This window comes from Homo sapiens, chromosome 4 (assembly GCF_000001405.40).
Source record: "Homo sapiens chromosome 4, GRCh38.p14 Primary Assembly".
NCBI classification, from domain to species: domain Eukaryota; kingdom Metazoa; phylum Chordata; class Mammalia; order Primates; family Hominidae; genus Homo; species Homo sapiens.
Genome location: NC_000004.12, coordinates 73699907 through 73721387, shown reverse-complemented (window position 1 = coordinate 73721387; position 21481 = coordinate 73699907). Strand labels below are relative to the sequence as shown.

The window sequence follows — 21481 nt, the reverse complement described above, 5'->3', positions numbered from 1 at the left end:
TAAATAATTGTTAATATTGAAAGTTTTTTCTCCCTTTTGCTGATCCTTTCTCTTTTTTCCGAATGAGTAAATTTATCACACTAATCCCATTGTACATAAGATATAGCAATTACTCAATTATTGATATGTTTTGGCTGTGTCCCCACCCAAACCTCATCTTGAATTGTAACTCCCATAATTCCCACGTGTCATGGGGGGAACCTGGTGGGAGGTGATTGAATTATGGGAGCGGGTATTTCCTGTGCTGTTCTCGTGATAGTGAATGAATCTCACAAGATCTGATGGTTTTAAAAGATGGGAGTTTGCCTGCACAAGCTCTCTCTTTGCCTGCCACCCTGTAAGATATGACTTGCTCCTCCTTGCCTTCCACCCTGTTTGTGAGGCTTCCCTGGTCACATGGAACTGTAAGTCCAATTAAAACTCTTTCTTTTGTAAATTGCCCAGTCTTGAGTATGTCTTTATCAGCAGCATGAAAATGAACTAATACAATCACTTATTGTCATACCTAGGATTTGAGAACTATAGGTGTGTTTAGAAGTCATCTCGTCCAAATCCTACATTATAAGATTCTAATCTCCATTTTTAACTTGTACAAATGTTGTGTATTTCAAACCTAAAATAGAACTACAATTTGAAGAGTTGTAAATATTTGTTCATGTTTTTATGGGCAAGAGATTTCTACTTACAAAGTGAACAAAGATTCTAAATGTCAAAAAGGACAACATTTTTAGTGGCACAAGAGCTAACCTATGTGTTAAGACCCCTTTAGAGGGCTCTTATCAAGGAAACTCATATAAAATTTGGAATTTTATCTATGGACTAACCTAATCATTTGATCTTCTATTTCCCTTTGACTGAAAGATGTAGACTACAGTTTTCATGGTAAACCATTTATAAAACTTGATTATTAAAATCATCTTGTTGCGTGCTTAGCAGACCAGATAAATCTCAGTTAATAGACTCTGTCCTGCAATATTAAAGGCTGATAATTAAGCATATTAATTTATTTTACATAATTTATCCTTGCTTTAAAGCACTTCCCAAGTGGTCTAAACTGAGCAGGACTTCAGAAAATTGGGTTCTGAGCACTGGCTCCATTGCTTGCTTGCTCTGTGACCTTGAGAAAGCCGCTTAATCTCTTTGGACATCAGATTCTTCATCTACTAAACTAGTGGCTGGAGTTACACTCATCCTCTTTATCCCTTTCTGCAGCTGTCTTAGTGATAAATTTACAAATGGAACTTCAACAGTGTTGGTCTCATTTGAGGGATATGTCAGAAAAAGTAAATAGGTCCTTTAAAGTTCCTCAGTCAAACACCCACAAAAAGTTGAGATGTCTCAAAGTATAGCTATGATAAGGCCATGATATGCTTTGCCTTTGTGTCATCTCTCTCAAAAAACGTGAATTTTTTTACATTTCAGAATTTAAATTCAAATTTCTGATAGGAATATGTGCTTGTATTTAAAATCATAAAATCTTTGAGATATATGAGCTGTTACAAAACTAAGCTTCGATATGCAATTCTAAAGAATAACCATGTATTACCAAGAAAGTTTTCAATAATCTCTATGTTCAGTCCAAATATGATATTTATTTGAGCTACCCTATTAGGTCAGCTTAATGGTATGTCATTTTGACACTTCACTTTTTAACTCAGCATACCTTGACCAGCCTTACGAAAAAATAAACAAAAAAAAATGAATTTAAAAAAGAGAAAGATTACAATCTATCTAGTAGAGATTAGCTGAATGAATCCCCAGATTAGATATACTTTAACAAGCAAACAATTATTGCCAGCATCTTGAATTTTGAGCAACTGCTAAGAATATAACTAACGTGGCTCTAGGGAAAATTTTTATGAGCAATTCATTGTTGCTCTGAAAACATGTTTTCAGAATAGATTAACATAAGCAGGCACCATAATGTTTCAGCATCATCTTTAAAGGGGAAAATGATCAACACGCTCCAAATAATAACCAATTTTGAAGAACATTTTTTGAAAAGGGAGGTAATGCCAGAATATTTCATGGGAGACTTGAGGTACTTCTGTTTAGTAATAACATTCTTACTTAACTTCCTCAACTCAGGTTCACTTGATCCCACTATTGGTATCTTGTGATTATCTTTGGCAGAGTAGCCACAAGTTTGCCAGACATATCATTATCACATCTTCTTTCTACCTTTTACCTATGTACTCATAATAACATTGAAATATTGTGAAATCCTGCATCCAGGGTCAGGAAGATTTTCTTCCCCAATCTGTGAAAGATATGAGTATTAAGGATGATTTCTCACATTAGCCCATTCTCACATTATATAAAATAATTGCACCATTCAATTCCACAGTTCTGATTCACCAATAAATGAGAATCTTCCTTTTGTAATCCCTTTAGTAGTTCTTTGTAAATATCTGTGCTCAGAATAGTTCATACATATAATTTACTTCTCTTCCATCTTCTGGTGATTAGGCCAGGGTGTAATTCTAACCATTCTAGTCCTTCCACAGTGACTGTGTTAAAGGAGGAAATTGCCACAAACCACTGTCATTTTGCTAGAACACTAATACTCAAAACAATCTTTTAAATTTGAGTCAGCTTTTTTCATGGCTCAATGACTTCACATTTTTCTCTTTAGAAACCAAAATACTTACAAGGTAATCTACTCTTTAGACTTTCAACATCACATTTTCTCTGAGACAATAGTTTTCCTTCCTCCTTGGGTTACCACTAGATCATAACAAAATGACAGAACTGAAGTTATTATTCTTAAAAGAGACCAATAACTGGAAAAATGGAAACAATGCTTTCAGGTATTTAGGCAACATGCAGCAATGTGCAATAAAAATAACACAGAGTTTGGAGTTAAGTGCATTAGAAAAAAAATCCTAAACCTGCTGCCCACCATGTGACTTTGACCAAGTTATTTAATCTGTCTTCTCCCCAAGTTTCTCATATATAAATTGGGGCTAATAATTACTACTTCCCGGACTGTTTTGAGAACTGAACAAGACAGCATAGGCAAAAATATTTAGTTAAGTGTTTGGTCTACTATATGTGGTCAGAAATATCTCAGTTTCCTCAGTCAACATAGAAATATCAAACTCTATGGAAATTAAGAGAGTCATCTGAGCAGCCTAAGGAGAGGCCCATCGGTGACTGTTTCTCCCAGCTTTAGCAATCTCACTAAGAGTTTAAAAAACAAATGAAACAAACCACATAGTTGAAGAGAGAGAGAAAAACAGGTTCATTGTGCAAGTTGTGTGAGGGGAAAAAAGAGTGAAAGCATAAAATAAAAACATGGACATGTGCCTTTCCACACACAGCCCTAATTCGGCTCTAAAGAAAATGGTGGCAAGAGCGCAGACCGTATGGTCATACAAAGCCGGCTTCCAACCATGAATCTGACACACTTACCAGTGGGGTGACCTCAGCCAATTATTTAATGATGGAGTCCACGGTTCCTTGTGTACAAAGTTGGGATAATTGTAACTCCCTTGAAGGATTAACTGATATAATTACTGTATGTAGAGTAATCAGTATACAATATGCATTCAACAAAGAGTGCAACTATGGTCACTATCATTTACAAAGAGAATTACTCTTAGTTGCTTATTTGAAAGGCCTAAATCAAAACAAATCTCAAATCAGCTTCCAATGGGTAAAGAGCAGCAATGAGCCACGCCAAACATTCTACTTATTTGAAAGTATAAATGTTTGTAATTTTCCAGGAAGTTGCTAAGGAAGACAGCCTGACATCGAGGACAATATCCTCTTACCTCACACATTATTGGCATAACCATTTGACAGCATTTCTTCTGATGATGTAAAAAGCCTGTTCCACATGTGAGAACACAAACACTGCCATTCTGAATCGGATATGCCATCCATTCCACCAGAATTTTCTCTTAGAAAGTGTAAAAATTTGTGGCTATCTTCTTTGATGTAATGAGTCTAATTTTAGAGGTTAGCAATGGGCTATAATTTTCTTAGTTCCTTTTTTATTTTTTTTTTTTGAGACGGGGTCTCACCTGTTGCTCAGGAGTGCAGTGGTCCAATCACAGCTCACTGTAGCCTTGACTTCTTGGGCCCAAGATATCCTTTTGCCTCAGCCTCCCAAGTAGATAGGACTATGGGCATGTGCCACCACACCTGGGTAATTTTTTTTTTTTTTTTTTTTTTTTTTTTTGGTAGAGACAGGACTTGCCTCGTGTTGTCCAGGCTGGTGTTGAACTCCTGGGCTCAAGTGATCCTCCCGCCTTAGCCTCCAAAAGTGCCTGGATTATAGGCATGAGCCACTGTGCCTGGTCTGTTCTTTTTTTTTTTTAATTTCAGCATTTACTTTAGCATCATAGGCATTTTCATGTATGCTAAATTATTTCATCCTAACAACTCTGTGAAATAGACATTCATTATTACTCCCCATTACTGATGTTGGCTACTCATTGCCAGTGAGCTATGAGGGGAAGGAGGTGAGGTGCAAGGACATTTCTCCAGACAAGGACATTTCTCCTGGCAAAGTGGCAACTGTCAGCCATTATCAGCCAGCACTTCTGGTAGCTGGAGAGTGGGTGCACTGGTCTGGGAAAGGGAATGGGGCTGGATGGGCACCAGCAGAATCTACTATATCCTCATTTTGCAGTGGGGAGTGGAGTGGACAACAAGGATTAGAACATTTAAGTGACTTACCATGCTAATACAGCTGATAGTGAAAAGCCAGATTCTAAATCAGACTGCCTGATTCCAAGTCAAGTGCTATATCTCCCATACCATTGGTTTGCTGAAGGAAGAGGGGCAGCTGTGAATGTATATAAACCTCTTACAAAGTGGTAAGTTGGAAGAATGACTTCATTAAGAGCATTAATCACTATAAAAAGTAGTAATCTCCTTAGGTGTCTCTACATTTAGTCCTTCTCAACTTCAGCTGATGCCCCGCTCATCTCATTTTCTGAGAACTAAAAAGCAAATCCATAGGCATTCTCTGCAGGTTAGCCACAACTTCATGCTCTTTGATTTTGAGTCTTTTCAGAAATTTATTTTAAACTCAAGTCCTGTCCTTTGAGCCTGATCTCACAGAGGAGTTTTTTTATTTCTTTGGAATAATGGTCAATGCTAGGGCTTGACCAGGTGATGTCTGATATCAAACAGGCTTGTTCTCACATGAAATAGGTCCTATATCTCCAGTTTAGAATGACATATATACCCAGCGCTTGCACTGTGACCACAGCAAGGCATCACAGTGGTGGAATCACCAGCACTCCAGTTCCTCTTTGACGTCTTAGATCTAACATCACAGGTTAGCAGTGGCTTATACTATCTTAGGTTTTGTCCTTCCTTCCTTCCTTTCTCTCTCTGTCTCTCTCCTTATTTATTTATCAGTTAGTTAGCACCTCTTATGTACCTAATGACCTAGGCATTTTCGTGTTGGAAGAAATCTACTTTCAGCTACTCCAGCTTCCTGGTTGAGAGTAGTAAGGGAATAAGACAAGGGGATAGGCAGAGGAGTAAGAAAGAGATACTAAGTGTCAATCATCAGAAGGCATTCCCTTCAGGGAGCTGAATAGTCATGATGCCCAGGCATAATGTAGCTGGAAGTCATGATTCAGGGTTCTCAAAAGGTGAAACAGGTGGAAGAGAGAGGAGTGGTGGGAAGCAGCATTTATAGAAGCCTATTAGAACCAGGTGCTATGCCAGTTATTTTACTTGATCGTTATCTTCATTTAATCCTCTCATGTTACCAGTTGGTAAGTTTCCAAATGTAAAGTTTTACAGAACAAAAAGTGATTTTTTTTTGCTTGTTTTCTTGTTTTGTTTCATTTTTGTTGCAGGCATCCAAACTGAAGAGCAGCTCAGCCTGGCATTTTGACCACTTTGCGGGTCTTCACTGACCCTTCTTGAGCTCCACCTAACAATTAAGAATTACTCCCTTATGAGCTTAAAAAAATCATAAAAGTTCCAGCCTGAGCAATGGAGTGAGACCTGTTTGGAAAAAAAAATATATATATATATATAGTTGTATCTTTATGTAGTTGAATAGGAGACACAGCTTGATTTATGGGCTACTATTCTGTTCTTATTGGGCTATTATCCATAACTGGTTCACAAGTCTAAGAAACCATTGGTATAACAAAGTATAACCATATACAGTTCCTGAAGATGAATGAAAGCTGTTACTGATTTTACTGCTTCTTCAACGTTAAGAGACCCTATCAGACCTCAATGGGGTCACTATCAGCTCTAAGTTTGTTTCTATCCAAACGGACATAATTAAACATTAAAATGTTAATTTTACAAATATATTATAAGACTACTTACTTTCTACAGTGAGAATTAAGATCTAGTTTAGTTTTTGATTAATCACTATGTAGAATATAATTCAATAAAGATTTGATATTTGAACATTTCAAGATATTATTTAAATGGCCGTAGTTTCACAAATCCATTCTTAAAACATTTGTTATACTCGAGATATTACTACATAATTTTTTTTAATTTAGAAAATCAAATTCTGAACACAATTTATTTATATGAGCTATCCTATTGACTCAGCAGTTTTCTATTAATTAAGAGTCTTTTGGCTTTCCTGGTTTTCTTTGAGTATAGTATACCTTAAAATAATATTTCTTGGGTATCTGCTGTGTCCTGTGATGACATTCATTGTACAAAAATGTGAAGAAGAAAAATTCCCCCCAGTGGAGCTCATTGCAAGCCCCTCATGACTGTCTTTACTTCTAGCACTTAAGACTGAGTAAGCCCTTTTTTGTCACTGCTGTTTAATCAAACACATTGTTTAATAAGTTAGGTATTTAAAAAACCAATTATTGAACAACGGATATGGGCCAGGTACTATGAAGACTCTTGGGATTAAATATGACTGAGATAAATACAGTTCCTGCCTTTACAGACTATACAGTTTAGTAGACTCAACATTCGCCTCTAATTTAAGATTCTGAAGTTGAAGGCATGTGGATCTATACTTCTTGAGCAGTAATTCAGCATCTCTCTGTCCACTGATCTAAACTGGTGAAAATGGAAGTCACTACAAGTATTCTATGTGAGCAGCTCTTCAGCCTATAGTGAGATTAAGAATTGGCAGGCCTCTGGAATGAAGCAGAATACATTCCCACAGCAAATGTTCACCGTGTACCAACTCTTTACTAGATGATGGGGGTTACAATTTTGGTAGCAGTAGACATATTCTCAGCTCCTCAGAGAGTTTTGCATTCTAGAAGGAGAGATGTTTTAAAAATAAGTAATTAAAAGGTCATGTAAAATAGCACAGATTTCAATAATAGGTTTTCCTCTCTTCTCCCCCAACATAGTGCTGTAAGCACAGCATGACACAATCACCCAGTGAGATTTTACACCTGCCATGGAACCTCATTTAGTGACTGTGGCCTTAGAGAAACTAGTGCTCTATGGAAACTGGATCCGCAAGTCACTAGGATTATTCAAAATGTCTATGTTCAATCTTTGTATTCAACTCCACAGGGAAAGCCTTACGGTCATTTCTCACAAATGCTCTAGTCTTGAGAAAATCTGTAGATGACACATGATGAGTGCATTTCCTGGTAGGCTGAGTGCACCTGTTCACAGGTGTTGTGTGTGGACATCACAAGCCAAAAACAGACAGATCTGATATGCCTGGTTGTGTCTCCAGAATAATTTTCTGTCATTTGATTACGTGATTTGGCCTTGGTTATCTTCAACTAAGAAATGAAGAACTTAGGCCAGAAGAGATAGAAAATTCTGATTCTGCATTTACTTATTCACATCCCTTTCAAACTTTGTTTGGAGGGGTGGCTGAAGACATTGTTTGGGACAAATTCCTATCTCCAGCCTTGGGTCACTTTCATTTTTGAGGGCAAATAAGTAATAGTGTCTCCGTTCATATAAATTGTTTTCTCCAAATTAGCATTTGGAGAAAATACTCACATGGAAGGCACCACAGTAGCAGATACATTTGGGCTGCTCTATCTCCAGTGTTTGAGAGGAGCCATTTCCAACTTGTAGGGTTAATATGCAGACTAAAAAAGATCCACACATAAAGCGCCCTGCAGAGCGTGTCACACAGAGTAAGCATGAAAAATGTCTTGTTCTTTTCCTTTCATCATCCCTCTCTCCTTCTAGCTATCCTTTAATATATAAGATAATTTATTTCTAAAAATTTGATTATGCAACAAAATTCTATGTATTAGATCTGATTTTCTCATTATTACCTTTTATAAAATTATACATAAATTTTATAAGGAAAAATTATTATACATAAATTTTATACATAAAATTCATCCCTCTCTCCTTCTAGCTATTCTTTAATATATAAGATGACTTATTTCTAAAAATTTGGTTATGAAACAAAATTCTATATATTAGATCTGATTTTCTCATTACTACCTTTTATTAAATTATACATAAAAGTTATGAGGCAAAAAGAGTCTATCTTAAGCTTTTATGAAATACCTCTGAGAAGTATTTTATTTTCTCACATTTAAAAAGTTTCATTGTGTTTGAGAAAATGATGTCCTGATATTAGCAGATAAAATGTCTTTATGAAATTATAAATGGGATTACATTTTGCTTTGAGAAGTCCAAAATATATTTTTAAATATTCATTTAAAACTTCATTGTAGAAAATGAAAACAAGCTTTACCTGCAGTGCTGTGCCAGATATTATGCTGTTTTGTACAAATAGCATTTTATTTAACTCATGCAGTAATGCTGTGAAGAAAGTAGCTTATCTGCAACATTTCACGTAGAAGCTTACTTTCTCTTCCTCTTCCTTTGGCTTCCAGGATACTACACATTCCTGAATTTTCTCTACCACCCTGTTGCTGGTTTCTCTGTCATTCTGTTGCTGGTTCCTCCTAGATTTCTAAACAGTAGCCAACTCCAATCCCTTGGAACTGAGACCTCTTTCCTTCTCTACCTATCCCCACTTTTTGTGGCTATAAATATCCTCAAAAGCTGACAATTTGCACATGTGTATGTACAGCCTGGTCTCCTTTGCTGACTCCAGATATGACTATCCAAATGGCTCCTTGACAACTCGCTTGGGCAGCAATAGAAATCTCAAACTTAACTTGTCCAAAATTATATACTCCTCCCAAAGAGTTTTCCATTTCAGTAATCAGTAGCTCCATCTTTCCAGTCTCTCAGCCTAAAACTGCAGTGACATCTTCAACCCCTCTGTGGTTTCTATGGCCTCTTGATTTCCATTCAGTCTGTTTCAGCTACATTGATTTTTTTCCCTTTATCTCACAAGGCGTTGAGTCTTTGCAATAGCTCTTTCCTCTGTTGAAGACTGTTTCCATCTGCTGAAACAGTCTTCTCTCAGATAGCTACCTGACTCCCTCCCTCTCCTGCCTTAGAATTTTTGCTTCTCTGTGAAGGTTTTTTTGACTGTCCTATTTACAATTCTAACTCTCACCATCTTCAGCTCCTCATCTCTTCCTGCAGCAAATACTTCCTTTCACCTTCTCTGCATTATTTTATTCTTTAATACTTGTAAGCATCTGACATACTATATATTTTCCCTTTTCACCAATTTAGTACCTGACTTTCCATGTTCCCCTCCTTCCTACACACACACTAGAATATAAACTTAAGAAGGGCGAAGATTTTGTCAGGTTTTTTTTTTTTTTCACTGCTCTATGCAGTACCTAGAACAGTGCTTGGAACATTCTAGGCATTCAATATATATCTGTTGAAGGAAACCTCATTTCACAGTTGAAGTAATTGCAGCTCAAACCTTGGCCTAGGTGACACTGGGTGTGAATAACGGCTTGAATGACAAAACCCAGTTCTGTCTGTCTCAACACACATCCTGAGCCATCAGCATCATTTTGCTGTTAATATTTTCTATGTATGTATGTATTTATGTATCTATCTATCTAGTCGGTATCAACTGACTCAAGACTTGAATATATCCAACTGCCAACATGATATCTCACTGGGGAAATAATAGATATCTCACATTAACCTGTCCAAAATCAAGTGTGTTAATTTTCATTAGCGGACAAACAGTTCTGAGAACTAGAGGCTACCAATGGCCCTTCTCTTAGAAGTGTTAGGATCCCTGCTCTGGGAAAGGACAGGACAGGACCAGAGTTCCTTTCTCATGGCCCCAAGTGACTTAGTGTTCCCCTTGCCCTCCTGCCATGAAGCTCATGACTGTGCATGCCATATGCCTCATTTTTCCAAGAAGTCTTGTTTGCACATTCTTAATGCTTTGAAGAAACAGTATGCATATACGAATTAAATTCTAGGTAGGAACGATCTATGAACTGCAGAGTATGTTGTTAGAGGTTTCATCAGTGTTTGGAAAATCTTCCTCTTTATACGGGGCCAGTGCAGTGGCTCACACCTGTAATCCCAGGACTTTGGGAGGCCAAGGCAGGCGGATCACATGAGGTCAGGAGTTCAAGACCAACCTGGCCAATATGGTGAAAGCCTGTCTCTACCAAAAATACAAAAAAATTAGCTGGGCCTGGTGGTGGGAGCCTGTAATCCTAGCTACTTGGGAGGCTGAGGTGGGAGAATCGATTGAACCCAGGAGGCAGAGGTTGTAGTGAGCCAAGATGGCACCACTGCACTCCAGCCAGGGCAACAGAGGGAGAATCCATCTCAAATAAATAAATAAATAAATAAATAAAGAAGACATATGGGACAGTACACATCCATTTTTTATTATAAATTAAGACTTTACAAGATAAAAATGAAAGCATAAATGTTAAAGTTGGAGGACTAATAAAAGCCTAGAATGCTTATGTTGTAACAATTTTAAAAATATGCACAGTAAATCTTTAAAAGAGCTGCACATATATTTATGTCATACTAATTAAATTTATAACTCAGAGGGACAGAGTAGAATTGTGGTTAAGAGTGTGGCTTTAAATCCCAATTCTACTACCTACTCCTATGTGATCTTGGACAAGTTGCTTAACCTCTCTGCATTCAGTTACTAATCCATAAAACTGAGATAAAAAGAGCACTTACCTGGAGTGTTGCTGCGAGAATTTGTATGTTAACACAGATGAACTGTTATGAAAGTGTTGTCATTGTTATTATGGGTCTTAATCTCCACATGTATAATGTGACTGGAAAACCCGGTTCAATGACATCATAAAGGAGCTGCTTAAAACTTATAGAGTAGTGCTTAAGAACACACTCTAAAGTCGGATATTGCTAGATTAAAGACTCATGTCCAAAACTTACTGTCAATGTGGATTTGGACAACATCTTATCCTTTCTACATCTCCTTTCTCAGTCTAAAAAATGGTGCCAGTAGTATCTACCTCAAAATATGGCAAAGAATTAAGGTGACTCTTGTCAAGCCTTCAGATGGAACCTGGCACACAATTAGTGCTAAATAATTGAGAGCTCTCACTCCTACCACACAGAAACAAAAGTAAATTATCAGATGAAAATTTTAAAATGTAGCCCAGAGAATTATCTGATATATATAGTCTTACATTCTATCCCCCTGCCAAAAAAAAAGTGGGGGAAGGAAAGAAGGAAGGAAGGAAGGAAGAGAGGGAGGGAGGGAGGAAGGAAGGAAGGAAAAAAGCAAGAAAGGAAGGAAGAGAAAAGTTATTTTACTAAAAAAGCATTGCACTTTCCATTTTATACAACTCTGTTTTGTGATCTGAGGCCTAGATGAAGCCAATTGCTCAGGACACTGGTCACAAAATTCAAGAACTCTTGATAGTCTGAGGTTTGTTCCCCAAACCTAGCCAGAGAACTCATTTCCCTTTTTACAATGACATCAGTTCAATTCAGCGTCCTGGAAAGAAAACACAATGTTTTCACACTTGTCTCTCGTCTCATAGTTATTTACCTTAAAATGAGGCTACATATTTTGGAATAAGTTAAGCAATGGTGGAAATCAGAGAGACCAGACCTTTGTCAGAGTGAACCTGACCCTTAGCAACCTTGCCCAATCTCTCTATTCTTTTCAATAAATCAATTAAATATTAATATGTATTGATATTTATTAAATTAAATATCAATATGTATGGTAGTTTTTATTATGTACGTTGTCAGAGATTTAATCTTTTTCATAAATGAATAATCCACCAATTTTTGCTAAACTATAATCTAAAGGAATGTAATGTTCTGAACTAAATTCTTAAATCTCCACTGGAGTTTTCTATTGTTGTTTTCTATTTTCTAAAAGGATCACAGGCAGAACAATATTTTTTAAGAAGGTAAGTGATCCTTGTATACTTTTGTATAGTCTCAGAATGTCTCTCCTGGCCAAAAATTGTCGTTCTTTGTTCAGAGAAATTGCATTTTAGTGAAACAGTTACCTAGAAGATTCTCTGATGGTGTGATTTATTGTGTGGCAGCAGCCACCTAGTCCAGTTGAAAGAGCACTGGTATAAAGTCAAATCGTTTATAAGTAGAATCCCAATCCCTCTGTTTGCTGCCTGTGTGACTCTGAATAACTGAGTCCTCATTATTTTACCTATCAAATATAACTAATACTCTCTTCTTATAAAATTGTATTAAAAATCAAATAAATAGAACCATATATAAAGCCAGCACATGCCTAGCTTAAAGCAGATTCTTAATATATATTTGCATTTTCACCTTCTTTGTAACATTTGCTTTATTATACTCTCAAAAGTCAGCAATCTAGACATCAATATGCATATTATAATCATCCACATCAGTGTAATGAGTTAGATTTTACAAATTGTTTGCATTTATGTCATTGGAAACTCAGGCTCTGGGAAATGATCTTTTGCAAAGCTACTAAGACACAGAGCTGAGACAATGGGCCCAGTTCTCCCTGTGAAATTGTTTTGTGGATTGGTATCATCAGCTCCCTGAAGCACCTTCATTAAAATAGATTTGGAAAGTAGCTAGTTTGGGAGCCATGTCTTTGGTTTTGAAAGCTGCAAGCTGGAAGAGCATGTGCGGGTTGATACAGGATCTGAAGATGGAACAATCACATGCCCAATATTATTCCCAAGGAAAGAGCCAGCCTGCTGGGCTGGATAAAGAAAATCCACTATAAAGTGTGTTTATCCTAAGAACCGGGACTGCCCGGCTTCCCTATAAGTGCCAAGTGGAACACCACTAATAAAGCAGCTGACATTCTTTATATGCAAGTTGTGAAACTGGCTTTAAAAGTTTATAAAGAAAATAAAAAAGAGAAAGAAATGGAAAAGAAAATTCTAACAGAAATTCTTAAGACACGATTGCAAGAGGAAGTCGTTTTTGCTTTCCTGTGCTAGCAGTTTCTTTCTCAGAGTGGTTCTTCCACCTAGTTCTGGTGACTCACATCCTTGGCTGCAGGCACTTTGCTTATCTTGAGTGCTATAAAGCAGCGGTTCCCAACCGTTTTGGCACCAGGGACCAGTTTCATGGAAGACAATCTTTCCACAGACAAGGGGTAGGGAGATAGTTTAGGGGTGATTCAAGCACATTACACTTATTGTGCACTTTATTTCTATTATTACTACATTGTAATATATAATGAGATAATACTTATAAAACTCACCATAATGTAGAGTCAGTAGATGCCCTGAGCTTGTTTTCCTGCAACTAGATGGTCCCATCTGCAGATGATGGGAGACAGTAACAGATCATCAGATATTAGATTCTCATAAGGAGCATGCAACCGAGATCCCTCCCATGCACAGTTCACAGGAGGATTTGTGCTCCTATGAGAATCTAATGCCACAGCTGATCTGACAAAAGGTGGAGCTCAGATGGTAGTGCAAGCAATGGGGAGCAGCTGTAAACACAAATGAACCTTTTCTTGCTCACCCGCCACTCACCTCCTGCTGTGCATCCTGGTTCCTAATAGGTCACACACTGGTCCAGGCCCGGGGACTGGGGACCTGTGCTGTAAAGCATCATGAAATGTGAGCCCTCATGGGATCAATCAAATTAAATAGCTAGCAAACATCTATACTGAGCACCTACTATATGCCACATAGTAGGTACTCAACATAGATGTTTTAATCAGATATTCTACTTAACTCAAATAGGATCCTGATTGTGACTTCTCAAAAGTCTGTAATCTAGACATCTTTATGCATATTATAATCATCACATCAGTGTAATGAGTTAGAGTGTACAAGTTTTCTGCATTTATGTCGTTGGAAACTAAGGTTCTGGACTTACTGTGGCCTTTAGTCTGATTTGCTACTAAGAATATCTGACCAGGAGTATCTATCTCATGTTGTCTCTCCATCTGGATATAAGCTACCCTAGGGCAAGGACTAGGTCTTGTCTGTGGAGGACAGACTACTTAGCATGGCATATGTGGAACACATGGATAACTTTTCTTTGATGGATTACTTTTGTCTAAATTATCAAGTCACTGTTATAGACACAGTTGCTGCCTAGAAGAATTCAGACAATTTGGTTTATATATATAGTGGCATTAGTAATATTTTATTTAAAACCTTCAGAATGCCAGCGTTCTACGCTGTAATCCAGTCAGTAGAATGTTGTGGGTTTTTTTTGTTTGTTGTTTTTTTTTTTGAAAAAAGCTTGAAATCAAAGGCAAAAAAGGTCTGAGGGGTTATTTTACCAGGGTTAAGGCAAGGCCTTTCTACAGAGAAGCTGCCTTCCAGTGGCCACATTGCTGGAGTCTCTTCAGTGCTCCCCTCAACTCCTTTATTTTCTATTTCATGAGGTAATTAATTTTTTACAAAAAATATTTACAGAAAACTCTGATTTACTATAACTCCTTAGCAAAATATATATATATATATATAATCTAAAATAGTATAAAACAAATTTTCCCAACTGGTTTTGGATAACTTTCTTCTTTGGCTTTCTCTCTGGTTTCCTCCAGTTGCTTGTTGCATGCCTTCTAAACAGCCTACCCTGCCAAGTGCCATGATTACTGTGACCACATCTTCAGAACCAGAAAACAGGATACCTGGCCCTAAGCATGCACTCATGGAGCAGAAGAGTTTTAAATCTGGAATGCCACAGAAGACAGAAGATAACATGCTTACTACACTTGTAAAGCAACATGCAGCCAGCCATTTCCAGTGCAAATTATCTCATTGCATAGTGTGACAACTAAAGGTCATAACCATAATACAAATCGTGTTTTTCTTGTAATCTATCCTTGGGTTAAATGTGAACTCCAGGAGAGCAAAGACTTTGTGGGTATCCCCAGCACTGACATCTGTGACCAGCATATGATAAACTGTAGTTGTACATAGGAGAGAATCAATAACTATTTGTAGAACTGAATATATTTTATTGCAACCCTTTTCATAATGTTAAGATAATAGACATCATAGTGTAACTAACAGTGCCTTAGAAGTGGATATCAGAGACTTGGCTACCACCAACAAGCAACTGTGAATGAGTAACTTCTCTGAATATCTCTTTGTTCATCAGGAAATTGAGAGAGATGGGGCAGATTTATTTTTTAGGTCCCTTCCACCTGTGAAGTGCTATTTCTCTCCACCTTCACTTATGATCATTCATTCACCAGGGCATGCAGACATTAGTCATTGCTCAGAACTCAGTGTTTCCAGTAGACATGGATTGGGAGCAATAAAAGTGGACCCAGAGCTAATTACTGGGAATTCCTACTTGAATACAGAATGCTATAGCAGTTCAACACATGGAAAAGGATGTCTAGCCCATGAGGAATAAATACTCGATCTTTAATGCTTCATTTCTAGAGCCACAGCTTGTGTTAAAAGAACCACCTTCACCAAGCAGTCCAATGAGAACAAACTCTAGGACAAACATTCTCTGCCAACAGAGCTAACTAGATGGAGAAAAAGAAAATGAATGAAATCTAGGGAAAAAAATGGAGCCACCCAGTTCAAGACAGTGCAGGTGGAGGAGCAGTATGTTTAGACCGCATCGCAGGTAGAATTCAGAGGGACTGTAAGCGATGCCTGGAAACGCTTGTTGACCAACAATGGGCTCCTATAGAACCAAGGGACTATCATTCTCCTATTGCAGAATAATTTTTCTAGATACTTTATTTTATTATAATGAAAGTTCCTTCTAGTATCTTAATGACCTTAGGGAATTGGTATTCATATCCTGTTAGTTGAGAGAAGAGAGTTTTTCCAGTGGGAACGTGAATAAATTTAAATGAGTCACCCCTCAAGTACCAAGCACCACTGTTCCCAGGTTTAAATGACAATTACTATTCCTTCAGTGAACCATGGCCACTCTGAGATTGGGTGTGGGGAGGAGAAAGGAATGGAATGCCAGTGAAACCATCTTCTATTGTCATCCTCCTCTGGGGCCTCACTCAGTTGTAGTCTTGCATCTGAGACCTTGGCCTCTTTGTGAAATAAACATTTCTTGGCCCTGTCTTGCAGGAAAATTGGAAGCCTGACCCTAAAATAAGCTAATATCATCCATAGACCAGACCAAAAGAAAAGCAGGGAGAATTTGGCACAAAGCAGCTCTCTTCAAGAAATTATTTTCCATGTCATATTTGCATAAATTAGTCATGGGCCCGCCAATTCAATGAAAGAGGAAAAGAGCACTCATGACCCTAGTGTGCTGGCATCCTGTTGTCCTTTATAGCTAAGGTCAGACTGTTTCTCCTTTTGCCTCATGTCGGCTCCTCTTAGTCGACTAAGACTGGCAAATCTGAGGCTACAGATTGTGCTATGAATGAGCAGCTGGAATTGCGCAACATTTTACTTGGCTAATATTTCAGTTTGTTGAGTCAGTGGCCTGACAAGTAGCTACAGCCCATGAAACAGCATTTTCTGACTCAGTGCATGTGCGAAAGAAGTAGTAGCTAAAGGTTCTGTTGGCACAGCCTTCTGACTCCACAGCATTGTTCTAGGATCTAGATTCCTCTCTACTTAACTCGGTTTCATTGCTTCCTATAAATTCTATGTAAATCTCAGACCCTCAGTAACATATCCCAAGACACATGATGAGCAACACTTGGTATTCAGTTTTCTCCAGCGCTGTGAAAGAGTCCCACCAGGAAACAATAAGGCCTTTTAGCCTATTAATTCATGAGCAATTTGATGCCTCTTAGGCGATAAGTGCAAGTTGAGAAATGAATTTCCTGCTGCTAAAATTCCAACGCTTTAGAAACTCTTCAGTGAACAAATAAAAGTTTATTCTTTGCAATAATGATGGAAACAAAGACTTTCATAAAACCAAACAATTGAAATGTCTTGATAAATGCCTGCAGAGTTGGCTAGGTTTCTAAACTATCAAATAATGAGTTTACCTCTTCTTACACTTTTTCAAGAATCCATTGAAGAATCAAGATAGGAAAGAGTATGATTCTTCATTTTTCCTAGCCATGCTCCACTGCTCTATGTTATCATAAAAGGACTTTAATTAAAGTGTTATTCCATTAATTGCCCAAGAAGTCATATTTGAAAGAAATAAATGCTTATATATGTATGCTTACATGTCCCTTCTGGAAGTCTTAACCTTTAAAACTACTCCAGCCCCTTCCCCAAACGTCCTTCCCCAATTCCTTATGCACTTACTGGATTCAAAGCACGACACTATAAAAGCTGTGAGAAGAAAAAAATATAAATTTAAAGAAAACTTTTTTTCAGAAAGATAATTAAATTCAATGTAACAATAATAACTACTCGTTTTCAAAACTCAGCTCTTCAACTATTTCTCCTAGAATTTTTTTCCAAAACTCTTACTTCAAGTCTAACACTCCTTCATCTCAGTTTTCTCTTTCATGATTATGTATTTTAACTCATAGGTATACTCTTTAAGACAGGGGCTATCCCTGAGACCTATCCCACATCCTGAGAAGGGCTTGGCACTCTCCTTGTCAGATAGCCTGTTGCCTCCTCAGCCACACTGTGAGCTCCTTGATAGAAAGAATTGTGCTATCTGTGGCTTTCAGAGCCCTATTCAGATACTTGATGCTTAACATGTGCTTGTAGAGTCGGTAAACTGAATGTATGTGGAGCCTCCAGAACTGTGTTCCCATTGAGGATGACAGGGAACAGATCAATCCTTGTCCTACATGGCCTAAATCTTAGTTTGACAAATATCTGGAAAGAATTACAAAAATATAAGGTAGGAATGACTTGGGAGTCCAGGGTGGTGTCTGAACCCTAGTCACTGCCTTGGGCACACATTTCTCATACTGTTGCAATATCACAGTTGTTGACTTTCAGTTCACTCAGTTGGTCAACTCCCTAAAGTTGGTTAAGGACCCTCATACCCCTCATCCTACTCTTTTCTTCTACCCCAAACCCCCTTTGCTCAGGACTTCCAGTGGTTCCCTCCTTTTAACCTCAGTATTAGCCCTTTATCCCCAACTCTTTGCCTGCCAAATGACATAGGAGCAAAGGATGAGAGGGAGCTGTCCTGGAGGGAAGTAGTACCTGCAAGGTAATCAGACCTTTCATACTACTCAGATCTTGTGGCCATCTCATGTGTGATTATGTTACAAGGATGTTTGTTTTCCTTATGATTTCATGCTATATGAACTCAATCTCAGGAAGAAAAAGAAAGAATTTTCAAGGCTCATCCTGCTACTGATGAGTTTTGTTTTAGAATGTTGCCTCCGAGATGCCTAACGCCATGCAGGAGAGAAAGCTAGGCAGGCAAATTAAAACATGGGCCTCAAAGCTCCCCTGGGAGATGGGAAGTTCAGCTCTCTGTGGCTCCATAGTGAAAAGAGATCAGAAGCAACACCTCTCTGGATCACCAGGACTTCAGAGTTGCTTGCTCATAACCAGACAACTTGTGAAGGCTTCTGCAAAATTTTATGGTGAAGGCTGAAGAGAAAAGAAGTAAAACCCTCTCTAACACTTATACACAGAGCCCTGTGACCCTGACCCTTAGCATATCTTTCACAGGGTTCTCTACTGCAGTCATCTCACCTCTCACCATGGATTTCTCTATTCCAATTTTTTAATTGTAAGATATGTCACATTCACAAAAAAAAGTGAAAAGAACACATATCTGGCTGGGTGCAATGGCTCACACCTGTAATCCCAGCACTTTGGGAGGCCGAGGCAGGTGGATCATCTGAGGTCAGGAGTTCAAGACCAGCCTGGCCAACATGGTGAAACCCCATCTCTATTAACAATACAAAAATTAACCGGACATGGTGGCACATGCCTGTAAATCCCAGCTACTTGGGAGGCTGAGGCAGGAGAATCGCTTGAACTCGGGAGGTGGAGGTTGCAGTAAGCAGAGACCTCTCCATTACACTCTAGCCTGGGCAACAAGAGCAAGACTCCATCTCAAAAAAAAAAAAAAAGAAAAAGAAAGAAAGAAAAGAACACATACCTATAGTTTAAAACCATTATTATAAATGTTAAACACAAATAAATGGTAAATGTTCATATGTGTAACCACCATTCAGATGAAGAAATAACACATTACCAACATTCTCAGAACCCTCTCCCCTATTTCACCTCTTCCTGTTCCCTTTGAGTAATCACCTCCTGATTTTTTCCATAGTCATTCCTTTGCCTTTCTTTATATCTTTACTATCTGTGTATGCATTTCTAAACAATCCAACTTATGTTGCCTGCTTTTGTGCTTCACGTAAGTGAAATCATACTTTTTGTATTTTTTTGTGCCTTGCTTCATTTGCTCCACAATGTGTTTGTGTAATTCATCCATGACATTCCATGCAGCCATAAGTGGTTTATTTTATTTGCCATTAGGGATTAAGAGCAGAGACTCTAGAGCCAGACTTCTCAGGTTTAAATCTCAGCTCTTTTCTCGTTCAGATGTATAACCTTGTGCAAATTATTTCCATCTTTCTGTACTTTAGTTTTAATTTACCTGGAGCTGATTGTGGGGTATGGTGTAAGTTAGGGGTCTTAGGTAGACCTCCCTGGGAAGATCTCTGAGATGGTGATTTGTAAACATGTGGTTTATTGGACCATGAGCATGGGAACTGTACCTGAAAAAAGGTGAGGAAGGCAGATTTGGGCAGAGGAGAAACGAATGGTGAAGCATATGCAGTGGAGGCCTTGGCAGGTCCCATAATAGCTTTCAGCTTGTCTCAAATTGATAGAATTTGTATCCCCACATCAGCTAGTCTCGATGTGAGCTGCCTTCAGGGAGGGACCACAGCCTTCAGCAAGGCAGCTCCTTTAGGCCAAGGGCAATTCCTGAGGAGTGATTCAGCTGCGACCTGTCAACCAGCAATATTGCAGCTGGAACAATTAGTGTCATCACTCTGAAGGGGAGAACTGGGAAGGGCACCACGGCATACAATACAGGGTCCAGTTTGATTTTTTCCCATACAGGTACTCAATTGTCCCAGCACCTTTTTCCACGTTATATGATGCTACCTCTTTCATATCAAGTGTTCATACAGTAGTCTATTTCTGAGGTTATTAAAAGTTATGTTTCCAGCCGGGCGTGGTGGCTCACACCTGTAATCCCATTACTTTGGGAGGCCAAGGCGGGTGGATCACGAGGTCAGGAGATGGAGACCATCCTAGCTAACATGGTGAAACCCCGTCTCTACTAAAAATACAAAAAAATTAGCCAGACGTTGTGGTGGCCCCCGTAGTTCCAGCTACTCGGGAGGCTGAGGCAGGAGAATGGCGTGAACCCGGGAGGCGGAGCTTGCAGTGAGCTGAGATCGCGCCACTGCACTCCAGCCTGGGTGACAGAGTAAGACTCTGTCTCGAAAAAAAAAAAATATATATATATATATATATGTTTCCTCGGTCAATTATCTGATTAAAACAAATTGATATCAACATATATATAGAAAATTACCCAATGGAACTAAGAACAAAGAAAGAGGACTTGACATATTAAATATCAAGAGTTGCTGTAATGATCTCTTTTTTTCACAATCTCTTTCCTTCCTTTTCTTCCACATGAAATGTCCTCAACTGTCTTGTCCACCAGGGATGCAGAGTTTACTGTGCATTCTTCAAGACTAAGCTGAAACATGATTTCCCCTCGGAAGCTGTCATTGGCTTCAGGTTCTTCTTCCTCTGTCATTCTTCAGAACTTCAAGTGCTGTCTCATAAACCGTGCCAGTTCAAGCCTTGAGTAACATCCTATAGTTGTATGATCTTGGACTACTTTATTTAAACAATATATTATAGACATGCTTCACAATTTTCTGTAAAAATTGAAATTGAAGTGTTAACTATTACCACTTAGCTCTATAATATAGCTCAAATTATTTTTATTTGCCATTACTGACAATGAGTTTCTTCGGTGCAGGGATCATGGACCATTCAGCTTTGGATCCCTATCACCTAGCATAGTTTTATCATATGGATATGACTGAGATTCAAGATGGTAAGGCTCATAATCAAGAATGCAAGTAGTACATTGGCTTACTGGAAAGAATGGTCAGACATTCATATACAAGTCACTTATTTCTGGAAATAAAGCCACAATATTGAATAATGTAGCTTCAAGCTAGGATGCTAGCAATTCTTTTCTTAATTCAAAGTTCCCATTTTCCACCTACTCTTTTCTCTAAGTAAAGGATGCCCCCACTCACCACCTTCACTGCCCTACACAGAACCCCAGATTTCCCTGT

At 38.3% G+C, this 21481-nt stretch overlaps 2 long non-coding RNA genes across 3 annotated transcripts, besides 1 other annotated feature; one reads left to right on the top strand and one right to left on the bottom strand.

The window, feature by feature from the left end:
- The first annotated feature begins 317 nt into the window (after window positions 1-317).
- On the top strand, window positions 318-21033 carry INKILN (inflammatory MKL1 (MRTFA) interacting lncRNA). 2 transcript variants are annotated; one of them, NR_185098.1, is made up of 3 exons: window positions 318-404; window positions 14813-15051; window positions 20833-21033. It is a non-coding gene; the product is annotated as an inflammatory MKL1 (MRTFA) interacting lncRNA (long non-coding RNA). The 2 variants fall into 2 exon arrangements; NR_185097.1 differs by lacking the exon at window positions 20833-21033 and having other exon boundaries at window positions 14813-15066.
- UMLILO (upstream master lncRNA of the inflammatory chemokine locus) lies at window positions 6861-11041 on the bottom strand. Its single transcript, NR_186371.1, has 3 exons — window positions 10993-11041; window positions 7933-8051; window positions 6861-7222 (listed from the first exon to the last, which is right to left on the bottom strand). It is a non-coding gene; the product is annotated as an upstream master lncRNA of the inflammatory chemokine locus (long non-coding RNA).
- Window positions 13102-13396: an enhancer, noted in NCBI's record as "tiled region #6280; K562 Activating DNase unmatched - State 5:Enh". NCBI's record gives its function as "activates a minimal TATA promoter and a strong SV40 promoter by Sharpr-MPRA in K562 cells {active_cell/tissue: K562}" and the evidence as "EXISTENCE:reporter gene assay evidence [ECO:0000049][PMID:27701403]".
- Window positions 21034-21481: the final 448 nt, after the last annotated feature.